We start from the raw sequence: 14642 nt of genomic DNA, 5'->3' as shown, positions 1-14642 counted from the left end.
GCTGTGGATCTGAGCTAAAATTCAAAGACAGTTGCAGCATGGATAAATATGAAACTCCTGGCAGAGTAGGGATTTCCAGAATGACCAATCCAACGAATGTAACTCTGACCTATGTGGCACAAAACAAATGCAATTATAGAAAAGCAGGGCAAGAGTGGACAGATGGATCTGATGTTGATCGAGGTTCATGTGCTCAGGGCACAAGTCATCTGAGAAGCAGGGCCACAGGGCCGGAACCTGGGTTTCAATGGGGCCATAGCAGCTACAACAAACACATGATCTGCCCTGGGAGGCCGTGGTTGTTCCATGTAGATGCTGGATTAGAAAGGCAGAGGCTGCCTAGAGGGAAAAGTTTTCTGAAACAAGGACCCAGGTAAAGGTTGGCTGATCATTTTAACATAATTATGGTGATATAGTAACAATAATAACAGCTAACAAGTCAGGCATAGTTAGTATTCCAGATATGTTATCTCATTGAATCATCACAATATACTTATAAGATCAATGCCTCTATTATCCCTAGTAAACCGAAATGAATACAGCCCTGGATATTACATAACTTGTCTAAGCTCACACAATTGGCAGTGTAGATTGGAGATGCCCGATGCCAGGCACCTCATGCCAAGCCTCCAGGCCATAGATGCTTCCCAGCCCCCTTGAACTCCTTCCTGCCTTGAGACCTTTGCATGAGCTGTTGGCTATTCCTGGGACATTCTCAATAACTAGTAATAACAGTGTAAAAAGATGGAAGCTTTCGCTAAGCTTCTAGTGTGGTAGATCTTGGATCTCAGCATGAATTGCGAGACAGACCAGTCAGTAGAACCTAGAAAAAGTAGCTAAGTCACTGGTAAACAAATCGTAAATGTTTCACCCTCATAGAAAGTTAATAGGATCAGGAGAAAAGGGGATTGAGGAAGAGGGTTTTTGGAGAGAGAAAACTGAGACATGGTGATTTTAACTTACCCAAGGTTACCTGAGAAACAGAATTTGTCATTATGTGGTCTGGGGTAGGCTAATGTTGACCTTCAGTTTCTCCGTCATGGTAGGGACTCAACTGCTATCCATCAAAACCATTTCTTTTTCCCCCCAGGCACATGGCTGGCTAGATGATGTCTCTCAACCTCCCTTGAAGCTAGGTGTGATCATGTGACTGAATTCTGACCAAGGGAATGGGAGTGGGCATGTTTGCCACACAGTCCTCCCACTCAGGATATCTCCTCTCTTTCCACATCTGTTAGCAGGGGTTCTAACAGAGGACTCCCAGACCCTTAGGGGTGCTGGAACCACAAAATGGTTAAACCTGGGCCCAATAATTCCTTCCTGGTAGAGCACCCTCCAAACAACTGATTGGGCTTTTCGTGGGTGAGAAATGAACTTGTATTTTTTTAAGCCACTGGAATTTGGGGGTTATTGCCTGTACTGTCTAATAGCTCTACTGGGAAGAGAATACAGGTAAGCAAGCTCACCGTAACTGCAAAGGGCAATCAATTAGTTAAATCTCTAGTTACAGAGTTAGATGGTAAACCTCATTGCAGAACATCTCCCAGCCTTCATGGCTCCTCTTACATTTTGTGCAATCAATCTATCAATCAGCCTTTAGTAAGTACGTAACTCATGTTACAATCATGAGATTTCCAAAGGATACAGAAAACATCAAACACCCCTCCTTGCCCACCAGAGGTTTTTAAGGAAGACATAACATACCCATGGAAATCTGTGGCAAATGCATGGTACATACACCATTCATGGATCTCCTTGTACCTTACCAGTGGTAGCCCTTGGAATTATGTAAATTAAGACAGAGATGTCAGAATTGCAGAATCTTAGAAGACCCAATTGCCTTCATGCCCCAGGCCAAACCTTACTCAGTGAGAGAGGGCTTTTAAATAATTTACAAGTTACAAAATTGTATCTACCTCCCAGGTCCTTCCCACTGACCCCATCATGCTGTCATCCCAACACTATACCTTCCACATTCCCATGACAACTCACATGACAAGGAGTTGGGGAGAGTAGGTTTACTTATCCATTCATTAAGCAAAAGTTCATGGAGAACTACTAAGTGTGCTAAGTTCTGGACCTATAGCAGTGAACAAAACAGATGAGGAGCTCTGCTATTGGAGAAGAAATATGGAGGGAAATAAAGCAGAGGAAGGAGTTTGGGAGCAACAGAGGTGAAGGGATTGGAGCTGTCTCTGAGGAGGTGACACTTGAGCAAGGTTTGAATTAGGTGAATCATGCAGATCACTGGAGGAGAGATTTCTAGAGAGAGAATACCCACACAAAGGGCCTGAGGTCAGTGTTTGCTTGATACACTGAAAGAAAAACAAGGAGGCCAGTGTGGTTTGAGCAGGTTCAGTGTCAGCAAGAGCCTCAGGAGCTGAGGTCCAGAAGGCAGTGGGGGCCTCTGGCCCTTGTATACCACTGCAAGGCCTTTGGCTTTTTCTCGAGGTGAAAAGGAAAGCTAAGGGAGGGTTTGCTGCTGAGGGGTGATATGACAGGATGTGTATTTTTAAAGGATCAAAATCTCACCCAGGTGCTACACTGAGAATAGATGCAGGAGTGCAGGAGAACCAATTGGAAGAAGACTGAAATAATCCAGGTGAGAGATGATCATGTCTTTGGCCAGGGTGGTAATATCAGCAGTGGTGAAAAGAAGCCTTATTCTGGCTTAATTTTGAAAGAAGAGCCAGCTGGATTTGCTGACAGATTGGATATGGGGGAAGAAGGAGAGGAGTTGAGATAATTCCAAGATTTGAGGCCTGAACAAGTGGAAGAATAACATTGCCATTTTCTGAGATAGGAGGGAGTCCAAGTGGAGCTAGTGTGGTGATAGCTATGAGAAGTTCAGTTTTGGATACTTTAGGTAGAGATGTCCATTAGTTATTCAAGTGGAGATGTTCAATAAATAATCAGATATGTGGCTATTCGGGGGAGATATCTGGGTTGAAGTTACACATTTGGGTGTCCTCTGCCTAAACATGGAGTTTAAAGTCATGAGACCAGATAGGACGACCTAGTTCAGATAGAGAAGAGAAAAAGTTTGAGACTGAGTGAAACTGCACGTCAACATTGAAAGGCAAGAGAGACAAGAGGGAACCAACCTCTAAGTAGGTTGAAATTGCCCAATAAGGCAAGAGGTGGATAAGAAACTAAGAGAAGAAAGTGTTTCAGGCAGGAGGGGGAAAGTGGCTGTGTCAGCTGCTGCTGAGAGGCTGAGGAGGTTAATCACTGAGGGCTGACCTTGGATTAGGCAACAAAAAGTTGCTAGTGACCTTGCAGAGCTGTAGGAATAAAAGCGAGTTGAACAGGTTCGATGAAATGGGAGGAAAGGATGTTGATAGCATACATATGGGCAATGCTTCCAAAACAGTGTTGTAAGGAGGTGTGGAGAGATTTGGGAGGATCTGGGGTAGGAGAGGTGTCATAAAGACTGTTGTTGTTTTAACAATGTTTGCATGATTATGGGAATGATGCCACAGCAAAGGAGAATTGATATGAGGAAAACAGAGGAGATATTGTCAGGATCAATGGATGTCCTTCTGAGACAAGAAGGGATGAAATCTGGTGCATAGGTTGAGAGTGGCCTAGAACAGGAGCATGCACAGCTCAACAGGAGGGAAGGCAGCACGGGCAAAGATGCAGATACCGAGGCTCTGAAAAGCTGTGAAAGTTATCCTCTGAGCCTGTCCATGTTCTCAGGGAACTAGGGAGGAAGGCTAGTACTAAGAGTGAGGAGGAGGAGAAGGAAGAGGAGGTGTGAAATAATTATTCAGGAGATGGAGAGAGAGCAGGAGTCAGGGTCTGGTGCCTAATTATCAGATTGTGTTAAGGGTCTCTTTGACTTGGGTGGACATACACTGAAGAGGAGAGCCCTTAGAGGTTTCCCTCCAGCCACATCTGGCTGTAAGGATGCAGGGGTGAAGGCAGGCAGAGAGTTGGGTGTAACTCCAGCTGGGTTAAGGCAGACAACTCTGACAGTGAAGGCCACCTTCTCAGAAAAGAGAGTGCACCAATGCCACATTCACCTTGTGTTGCTCCAGAAGATCTCTTGTAATAGGATGCCTTTGTGCACTTGGAATTTTATGCAGTTTAAGCCTAGGAATAGTGGTTGTTAAGGTTTACTTGGTTCCTCTCATATGGAACTCAGGGGCAGCTCCATCCCCTTTCTAAACAGCTTGAGAGATGGAGGGACAAGGACTAGACCCAGGTATCCAGGCTTGCAGCTCAGGCCAGGGCAGTGGACAGGGGCTAAAGGACTGAGAACGTTCAGGGTGTAGGACCAGGGACTGTGCTACCTTCATTGGTGTGGCAAGAAAGGAAGGTACGAGTCAATGGCAGCACCAGAGGTATAGAGACTGACCCTACTTAGAGGGGCTGAGCTACTTAAAAATCAAGAATGTCCACGAGCCATGATGCAGACACTCATCTCACCCAGGAGACCCCTCAGGCCCTCGGAGAAATAGATATCCCACCCCGGGCCACACTGTGTTTCCCCAACTCACCTAGATCCCCAGATGAGTTCGCTCCAGGGACTGTGCCTTGTAAAGGCATTCTAAGCACTTTACAAAGACTCCATGGTAACCTTATGAGGCTGGTGCTCTCATTTCCCCATTTTGCTGATGGAAACACTGAGACACAGACAGAGTAAGATACTTGTCCAAGGCCACAACATAATAAGTAGTAGAGTCAGAAGTGGCATCTCAGCAGTTCCTATAAAGCCCAGGGATTCCACCACTACTATGCATACATGCTGCGTCTCAAGCCACACAAATACCACAGAACCCTGGGCTTTGCTGTTTATCTCAGTGCCTCATGCAAAATGGCAGATTTTCTAAATTTAGATACCAGATGGGAAAACATATTCCCACTTATAGCCTAATTTATAAAAGGCTCTAACTTAGCTCAAGTTCTGGAGGCAACATAGTCTAACAGAGGTATTCTAACCCAATTATGGAGTTGGAAAAGGGAGGAATGATGGCTGGTAATTCACAGCCAGCCTGCCTTAATTTGTTGGCAAATGGGGGTGGGAGAAAGTTTGCCTCAATTTCTAAACTTCCTCATAATTAACAATATTGTGACTCAACATCACATCCACACACGCCCACAAATGTTTGCATTTTGGCATGACAAGGGCGGAAGCCATATCCACCATGCTTCTCTGTGGTTAACCAGGGAGATGGCCTCATTGATCTATCCAAAGTGTTATTAGGGAAATGCCTCAGCCAAATATTTTAAAAATCACTGCGTTGTTCCCCAAACTGTTTTCCTCAGTTATCTTAATCTTCCGATTCCCATGCCCTAAAAGCCCCCAGTCACTGTGCGGTATCAACGATCACACTCAAACTTGCCCAGCTGCTAGAATCCGGCCACAGCTGCATCATCAACATAACCCACTCTTACTGGGATATGCTAGTTCCTGATGTGGCAAATGCGCTTTTGGTAAGAAGCATCAAATCTCCTCTTGTTTAAGTGGCTGGGGTTGGTCATTTTGCTTTTCGCAAACCCTTAAGAGGATACACTGACCCAGGGGCTCCTACAGGAGAAACTAGGTCAGTCAGTAAGGGAAGTACCTAACAGAGATGCTTCAGGGCCCATGAAAGTGCACAGTCTCCGGAGCGAACTCAGCTGGGGATCTAGGTGAGTTGGGGAAACACAGTGTGGCCTGGGGTGGGATATCTATTTCTCTGAGGGCCTGAGGGGTCTCCTGGGTGAGATGAGTGTCTGCATCATGGCTAGTGGACATTCTTAATTTTTAAGTAGCTCAGCCCCTCTAAGTCAGGTCTCTGTACCTCTGGTGCTGCCATTGACTTGTACCTTCCTTTCTGGTTGCACCAGTGAGGGTAGTAGAGTCCCTGGTCCTACACCCTGAAAGTTCTTGGTCTTCTAGCCCCCATCCACTGCCCTGGTCTGAGCTGCAAGCCTGGACACTTGGGTCTGGTCCTTGTCCCTCCATCTCCCAAGCTGATTGGAAAGGGGATGGAACAGCCCCTGAGAAGTTACCCTACCTCTCCCTTCGACACTGGCTTCCTGGGAACTATTGGAATGTTTCCAAGAGCAAAGAAAGGAAAAAGCAGCTGTTGGTGCCCTCAGGGAAAAGCGATCCCACAGTGAGGGTCAGGAGTGAACTGTTGTAGCTTCTGTGAAAACACACCCCAGAGCTTCGGGGAGGAGGCATCCAGCACACAGCCTGGAATTAAGAGGCTCAAAAACTCCTAGTGCCACCTTCAAGGCCTGGCACATAGCAGTGGTTCTGAAGTCTTGCCTTTATGTTGCCCCAAAGTGGCTCTCCCATTGCAACTTTTGAAAGAAATTTACTTAACTGATACATTTCATTGAAGAGAAGTTAGGAAAGCTAAGATAAAAGGGGGGGAAATCCTATAATCTTACAACATGAAGCTAGACAGCTTCCCATCTTTACATTTTTTACATATTTCCACCAAGACCTCTAGGTGTACATCTACACATAAATATATTTTACACAGATGGCTTTGTACTATATGTACTATTTTGCAACCTTCCTTTCCACTTGACAATACATCATGTTTGGCTTTCAATGTCAGCACACACAGCTCTACATCATTCTTGATGACTACATTGCAATCCTTTGGGTCGATAGAGTAAAATTCATTTAACCAACCCCCTACTGTTGGATATTTATGCTTCTTTCAATTTTTTTCTATAATAAACAAAGCTATAGTGAATATGTTTGTACATATAGACTGTGCCCTTGAGGAACTCACAGTATAAGAATATGAGAGAGGGGATTCCATTGTTTTAGTTTATGGTAGATGAGAAAACATCCGTTGTTTTTAAGAACAATCATAATAATAAAAGCCACTTTAATTAAGCATTTACCTTGTGCCAAGCACCGTGCTAAGGGCTTTATGCTCAAACGCCATTTGGTCCTTACAGATATCCTGCAAAGCTGATATTATTAATATTACTATTTTTCAGAAGAGAAAATGGAAGCTCAAAAGAAGGAAGTGATTTACCCAAGGTCACACAATGAATAAGCAGCAGAGAGAGAATTTACACCTAGGACTGTAGACTTCAAAGCCCAAGCTATAGGCTAAATGCTAGACTTTATTGTGACAGTTACTTGGAATTCATATTCCTGGATTTTAGCCTCAGACCTAATCCTTATCAGGACCAGGTTTAAATAATAAACCAGTATAACAGACCACCTGCAGATGGTCAAATGGCTGCAAGTTCTTTCTCTTCCTGCATGCATACCTCTATGCAACATGGATTCAAACTCCTTCCTTGGAGAGTGAAGCCTGTTTTCCAGATGCTGAAATCAATGCTGGCCTTTGTGACTTGCTTTAAACAATAGAATGGGGCAGATGGGATGTTGTGCCTATTCAGAGTTTAGGCCTCAAGAGAGCCCCTCAGCTTCTGTACTCACCTTGAAATCCTGCACAGCCATGCATACAAGCTCGGGTTAACCTCCTGGAAGACAAGAGATGTGTAGCTCACTAGGCTGGCAGAACTTAGCTGACTGACAGGTGACTGAAGCTGCCAGAGGGAACCCAGCCTAGACCAGCAGAACCACCCACTGAATTGTGAGCTGGTAAATGCTTATTGTTTTAAGCCTACAAGTTGTAGCATGGTGGTTACGTAGCAAAAGCAAATGAGTAGACTGCTGCCAGGTTGGGTTATATATGGTTGATGCAGTCTGGGAGAGAGGGGGCTCTGGTGGGGATTGTGAGCCACGTGGCTAGGAAGGCTTCACAGAAGAGGTGACAGCTCATGCACGGCAGGGCATGCAATAAACAGCAAAGCCTCCTGAAGCAGAACAGGGAGGTGGGCCTGCATGTGCAATTAGATAAACCTCTCCGCTGGAGGTGCGGGTTGCCACGACATCTCTCCAGAGCCTGAATTAAACAGAAACCTCCCTCCAGCCGGAAAGGCAGCTAGTTGTCATTTACACACCAATGCGGAAAAATAAAACACCTGGCAGATTCCCTGGCAGCCTCTTGCAGGTCTACCCTGGAGAAGAGATAAGTTAGATGATGTTCTCCCTTTCAAGTGGAGAATTGGAATTCCAGTCCTGGGCCACAGGGAAATGTTGCTTCTTCTCCAGCTTCTCCTCCCCCTGACTGGAGTTCAGCCCTGAGGCATCCTGTGCCCTGGGAAGTCCCAAAAGAACAACGCTTTTTCACACCATCCACGAGGAATGTTGTGCAAAGTATGTTTCCTAGTAGTCCTTACACAGGTGACCCTACTGGGTGTTCTTAGCAGTGTCCTGTTCAAAGAATTGAGCCAAATAATCTCCCAACATGTCATGTCACCATTCATTCATTCACTCACTCATTCATTCATTCATTCATTTCACAGACACTCCCAGCCTAGGCACTGTGCTGCACCTAAGATGCCCTTGTGAGGCTCACAGCCTAGTGTGGAAGGCAGACACAAGTAGGAGCTTGGGATACATAAAATCCCACATTTATTAACATTTATTAGCCACCTCTTTCTTTGTTGCTTCCCCTGGTTACTCAATAAACGTGCCTATTTATTTATTTATTTATTTATTTATTTATTTATTTATTTATTTATTGAGACGGAGTCTCTCCCTCTCGCCCAGGCCGGAGTGCAGTGGCCTGATCTCGGCTCACTGCAAGCTCTGCCTCCCGGGTACAAGTGATTCTCCTGCCTCAACCTCCTAAGTAGCTGGGTTTACAGGTGCATGCCACCACACCTAGCTAATTTTTGGGGTTTTTTGTTTTTGTTTTTGTTTGCTTTTTTTGAGACGGAGTCTTGCTCTGTCGCCCAGGCTGGAGTGCAGTAGCACCATCTCGGCTCACTGCAAGCTCCGCCTCCCGGGTTCACGCCATTCTCCTGCCTCAGCCTCCTGAGTAGCTGGGACTACAGGCGCCTGCCACCACGCCCGGCTAATTTTTTTTGTATTTTTAGTAGAGACGGGGTTTCACCATGTTAGCCAGGATGGTTTCGATCTCCTGACCTCGTGATCCGCCCGCCTTGGCCTCCCAAAGTGCTGGGATTACAGGCATGAGCCACCGCGCCCGGCCCACACAAGGCTAATTTTTGTATTTTTTAGTACAGACGGAGTTTCACCATGTTGTCTTGAAAAATGTGTGCCTTGTCTAAGCTAAACCTAGGTGAGAAAGTAGGTGGTTTGAAAAGTGGACCGGGAGTAGACCCTGTATGGTCTGGGCTAGTGATGCAAGCAGTGAGCAGTCTACTCTAGCATGGATGGAAAGGACCCTCAGGAGCTGAGATAGTGAGAAGAGAGAGATGATGGAGGGAGATGCGAGGAGAGGGTGTGCGGATGCTGAAACCCGTGCATTTCTGGGTTTTGGTAAAGCAGGGACTAGGCAGAGTTGCTGAGGCTTCCTTCTTGTGAGGAAACCAGGATGATAGGTTGGGATCCAAGAGCACTGTTACCTGGTATTGTGCCATCATGCAAATAGGAATAATTTTCCACACCTAAAAGTATTTTTGGCAGTGTTTATGAATGCCCTATAGTACTGGATTTATGGAAGGTGTCAAGAGCTAAAGAGGATTCTGCCTTCTGGAACTTGTGGTCTATTGGCAGATAGACCTGCAGACAAATTGTTGCATTCCAACGCGATAGACACTGTAATGGGAGTAAGCCCAGGATGCTCAAGGAACCTAGGAGAAGGGTCTGGGTGGGGCAGGGAAGGGTTTGTAGTTGACTTGGATGAGTAGGAGTTTTCAGCTGATGAAGAGGCTATCAGGAGGGATAAGGAATTAAATATTAAGACACCAAAATATAGCAGAATGAAGGAGCATAGAACAATCCAGCGTCCCTGAATATAAAATGTACAGAGTGCAGTGGGAAGCAGGCTGGAGAGAGGTTCACACGGGCCAGACCACCCAGGGATTTATGAGCCGATTGGAGGAGCTTGGACTTTATCCTGTGGAAAATGGGGAACCCTTGAAAATCTTCAAGCAGAGAGTGACTTGATCAGAGTTGTCTTTTAGGAAGAATTCTCTGGTAGCTGTGCAGGGAATGGTTTACAGAAGAGTAAGACCAGGGCACTTATGCCAGCTAGGAGATACCATAGGAATGTCAGCAAGAGTTGCTTGAGACAGCATGGTGGGAGAGGATCAGGGTAGTGGTTATGTGCAAAAGCTCTGAAGTCAGCTTCCAGAGTTCAAAGCCTGCTGGGATCCCTTACCAGCTGTGTGACCTTGAATAAGTTACTTAACCTCTCTGCACTTGACTTTCTTCATCTGTGAATGAGAGATAATAAAAGCAACTACCTGATAGTAGTTATTCTATGAATGAAATGAGATGATCCATGTAAAGCACTTAGAACTATCCCTGGTACATTGCATATACTCTATAATTACTAATTATCCTTATTTACTCCATTAGACTTGATGATTTGGTATGGACAGTGAGCTAGAGGGTATCTAGACTTGCTTCTACAGGGCTGGCTAGGATAATGCCATTCTCAAGAGTAAGAAATAGGAGAATATTACAAAAATAAAGTAAGTTTACTCCCTTTCAGGAGAATGAAAGTGGTTTCCAGTGCACAGAACTAAGATTCTGCTCCTTGCTTCTCTCTGAGGACTCCTGCTTATGCTGTCTTAGTTTTGTGTAGGTAGACTAGATTCCTGCCCAAGACTAAGAGCAATAAAGGACATCTGCAGAGACTCTATCATACCCTCTTGTTCTTTTTAAACTTCACAATAAGCTTGCAATCCAAGTAAGACAGGTATAACTATTGTCCCCATTTTTAAAGACAGAGAAACTGAGGCTCAATGCCATTGCCAAGGAAAGAGAGCTCAAAAGGGAAAGAGCCACAAGTCTGATACTCAGGTTTCCTGCGCCTCAAATCCAGTGCTCTTTCCAATCCACATTCTTCATGGGCTTCCCAAAGCCTATGTGATTGTGATACCAGGGCGCCCCATAAATCTGATCTCCTTGTCCCTCAAGAGTGGAAGGGGCTTTCTCATTCCCACAAGAAGGATGGATCAGGGTGGTGCCTCAGCTTTGCTTGAATTTCCATAGAAGGAATTCAGCACCTTGAAATCCCTTGCTACAAGCCCAGAGGTTTCTGACAACAGTGAGAGCAGGGAGGAGGGAGAAGTGTAATACTTAGCACCCTTTGGAGAATGGCCCAGAAAAGAGCAGCCAGGAAGAACTGTTAGTCTTCCCCAAGCACTGTTTTCCACTGCCAGACATTCATCATCTCGTCGAATGTTCACAGCCACCATGAGGTAATCAATACCATTTCTATTTTTCATATGAGGACACCGAAAGCCAGAGAAGTCGGGTATTCAGATTCCAAATCATTGTGCTGAGGCAATCCTGCCTTCGGCTGAAGAAATAGGGAGCGGGGACAATGCGTCAGGACGGCCTCTTTTTACTCAGCGTGAGCTTTGTTACTCACCCGAGGTGTTCTACCTTGAATCATGGCTTTTGTGAGGAAAACCAGGTGAGTTAAGTCCCATTAAAGGGGTTCTATGGAGTAGTAGGAGTGGGGGAAAGAACATGTTTTTTTCACAGGGCTCAGTGTGTATCTGACTCTCACCTGTATTAACAATAGTAACTAATTAAGAAGGAGCATGCTAACTGCCACGAAATGTGATCAGTACTTTTTATACATTATTTCACTTAATACCCCGAACAACCCTATGAATTGTGTTCTACTATCATTATCAATTTTCCATCTGAGAAACCTGTGGCTCCAAGAAGTGGAGTAACTGATTGCTCTAAGGTCATAGGGCTGTTAAATGGCAGAGCCCTGTCCCTGTGTTCTTAACTCACAGTTTATGCTGCCTTCTGAAGTTGAAGAAAACACCCCTGCTAGTTGCAGGAGAGAGTGGTCATGGCACATAGACCATCCATGCATGATATGTGAATTCTCCTTGGAGGTAGCTCCTGAGGCTAATCCCCCAAATGAGCCTAGAACAGGCACTTCCAACCTTGAGTTCCGTCCATGAATGGGGGTCCATGACTTACAGACCTATACCAAACCCATAACTAAGTTGCATAGACTGTTGTTTAATAGGTGGACAGTGATAGCACAGGCCACGCAGTATGAAAGACAAAAGATTGGCTGGATGCGGTGGCTTGCGCCTGTAATACCAGCACTTTGGGAGGCCAAGGTGGGTGGATCACGAGGTCAAGAGATCAAGACCATCCTGGCCAACATGGTGAAACCCCATCTCTACTAAAAATACAAAAATTAGCTGGGCGTGGTGGCACTTGCCTATAATCCCAGCTACTCAGGAGGCTGAGGCAGCAGAATTGCTTGAACCCCAGGGGCGGAGGTTACAGTGAGCTGAGATCACACCACTGTACTCCAGCCTGGTGAGAGAGTGAGACTCCGTCTAAGAAAGAAGGAAAGAAAGAAAGAAAGAAAGAAAGAAAGAAAGAAAGAAAGAAAGAAAGGAAGGAAGGAAGGAAGGAAGGAAGGAAGGAAGGAAGGAAGGAAGGAAGGAGGAAGGAAGGAAGGAAGGAAGGAAGGAAGGAAGGAAGGAAAAGAAATAAAGAGAAAGAGAGAAAGACCGAAGATTCTAATTCCATCACTTAAGAGCTCTGTGACTTTGGGGAAGGAATTTACTTTGTTTGAGTCTTAGAACACTTGTTTATAAAACAAGACCCATAAGAATGCCTATCTTTCTGGTAACTATTGCTTTGTAACAAATTACTCCATAAGTTAGCAGTTTAAAACAACTGCTCATGACTGTGGGGGTCATGAATTTTGGAAAAGCTAGGGGATGGGCAGATATGTGATTGCAATATGATTGCATATGATTGCACATGTGAATCCCATATGATTGCAGTATAATGTCACCCGGGGCTGCTGCATCTGAAGATTCAATTGAGCTGGACATCCAAGGTGGCTCACTCCTGTGCCTGGACACCCAGGGTTTCTAAGTCCCATACCTGAACATCTAAGGTGGCTCACTCCTGTGCTTGGACATCCAAGGTGGCTCACTCTTGTGCCTGGACACCCAAGGCAGCTCAGTCCCATGCCTAGACATTTAAGGCAGCTCACTCCCATGCCTGGACACCCAAGGCGGCTCAGTCCCATGCCTAGACATTTAAGGCAGCTCACTCCCATGCCTGGACACCCAAGGTGGCTCAGTCCCATGCCCAGACTCCCAAGGAGGTTCACTCCTATGCCTAGACACCCAAGGCAGCTCACTACCGTGCTTGGACACCCAAGGTGGCTCACTCCCATGCCTGGACACCCCAGGTGGCTCACTCCCATGCCTAGACATCCAAGGCAGCTCACTCCCATGCTTGGACACCCAAGGCGGCTCACTCCTGTGCCTGGACACCCAAGACAGCTCACTTCCATGCCTAGACACTCAAGGAAGCTCACTCCTGTGCCTGGATATCCAAAGTGGCCCACTCCTATGCCTGGACACCCAAGGCGGCTCACACCTATGCTTGGGCACTCAAAGCAGCTTGCACAAGAGAGTGTCTCTTCTAGCAAGGGGAAGCTGTACCACTTTTTATGACCAAGCCTCAGAAATCAACAAATTACTCACTCTGTGCTCTATTGATTATGACCAAGTTAGACGGAAGCCAGGTTCACAGGGAAGATAATTAAATTATGCCTCTTAATGAGAGTTGGGGCAAGTGGAGAGGTTCTAGAAGGACAAGTGAAACTGGTGGTATTGTTGAGGACATCTTTGAAAAATACAGTCTGCCACCCTTGCATTATGGTATAGTACATGAATTAAACAAGACATTGCATGGAAAGTACTTAAGACAATGCTTTGCATATAGAAAGTGCTTGATAAAGTTAGCTGTTGTTATTAGATGTGACATGTCTGAGAGATGTCTTTCAACATAGCAAGATGGTAGAAAGAGGTGAGGAGAGAATAAATGGAGAGATTGGTGGTGAAATGTTGGCAGCATTGGCTCACGTCAATGGCAAAGAAGATAAGCTTTCCACAAAGAGCAGAATCACTCGACCATTTAATGAATAAATGGGCCCTAGTGGAGAGCAAATGTCAGGACCTCTGGGAGAGTAAAGGAGTGGATTATCAGTTTTGTGCTGGCTGAAGGGCCTGAAGCTTTTAGTACGAGAAGGTGCAATCCAGGAGCCAGGAAGAAAGAAGTGAGAATGAGGACAAGACTGATAGAGGCTGAGACTCCAGGTGGGAGCTGCACATACTGGGCTCCTACTGTACAAGAAGAAGAGAAGACAAGTCTTGGGAGGGAGAAAGAGCCCACCTGGCCTGGCAAGGGGGACCCTCGTGCAGTTCAAGGTTGTACAGCTCAATCCACCGAGACTGGATAGCTTTGGACTTGTGTCTGGGCTGGTTCTTGAGGACAAGGACATTAGCTCACAAACCTGTTCATTTCAGGAGATAGGGGGATGGAGCTGCAGGTGTTTCCACCTTAGTTTCCTAGAACACTTCCTAACCCAAGAATTCACAACAGCGTGTGAAGAATATCTGGATTTCCTGAGAAAGTCTGAGAAAACACTTCTCTGTTTTACTATTACTCTGAAAATAGAATGCAAACTCCATAACATAGCCTGCAAGACCATGCATAATTTGGTCTCTCCTATTTCTACACTCTCATCTTGAACTCTCCTACTCACTAGAGTTTAGTTTCATTGAGCTTCTTCCAAATCCCAAAGCATTAAACTTGTTCTTGCCCCAGGACTTAGGCGCATGCT

General features: G+C 45.6%; 2 annotated features.

The window, feature by feature from the left end:
- Nucleotides 2925-3034: an enhancer, noted in NCBI's record as "active region_712". NCBI's record gives its function as "activates an Ori minimal core promoter by ATAC-STARR-seq in GM12878 lymphoblastoid cells {active_cell/tissue: GM12878}" and the evidence as "EXISTENCE:reporter gene assay evidence [ECO:0000049][PMID:35858748]".
- Nucleotides 10747-11946: an enhancer, noted in NCBI's record as "CDK7 strongly-dependent group 2 enhancer chr1:34790003-34791202 (GRCh37/hg19 assembly coordinates)". NCBI's record gives its function as "activates an origin of replication core promoter dependent on BRD2, BRD4, P300/CBP, MED14 and CDK7 cofactors, with strong dependence on CDK7, by STARR-seq in HCT116 cells {active_cell/tissue: HCT116}" and the evidence as "EXISTENCE:reporter gene assay evidence [ECO:0000049][PMID:35650434]".

This window comes from Homo sapiens, chromosome 1 (genome assembly GCF_000001405.40).
Source record: "Homo sapiens chromosome 1, GRCh38.p14 Primary Assembly".
NCBI classification, from domain to species: Eukaryota; Metazoa; Chordata; class Mammalia; order Primates; family Hominidae; genus Homo; species Homo sapiens.
Note: the sequence above shows the minus strand (reverse complement) of the source record. Positions and strands in the feature narration are given on the sequence as shown.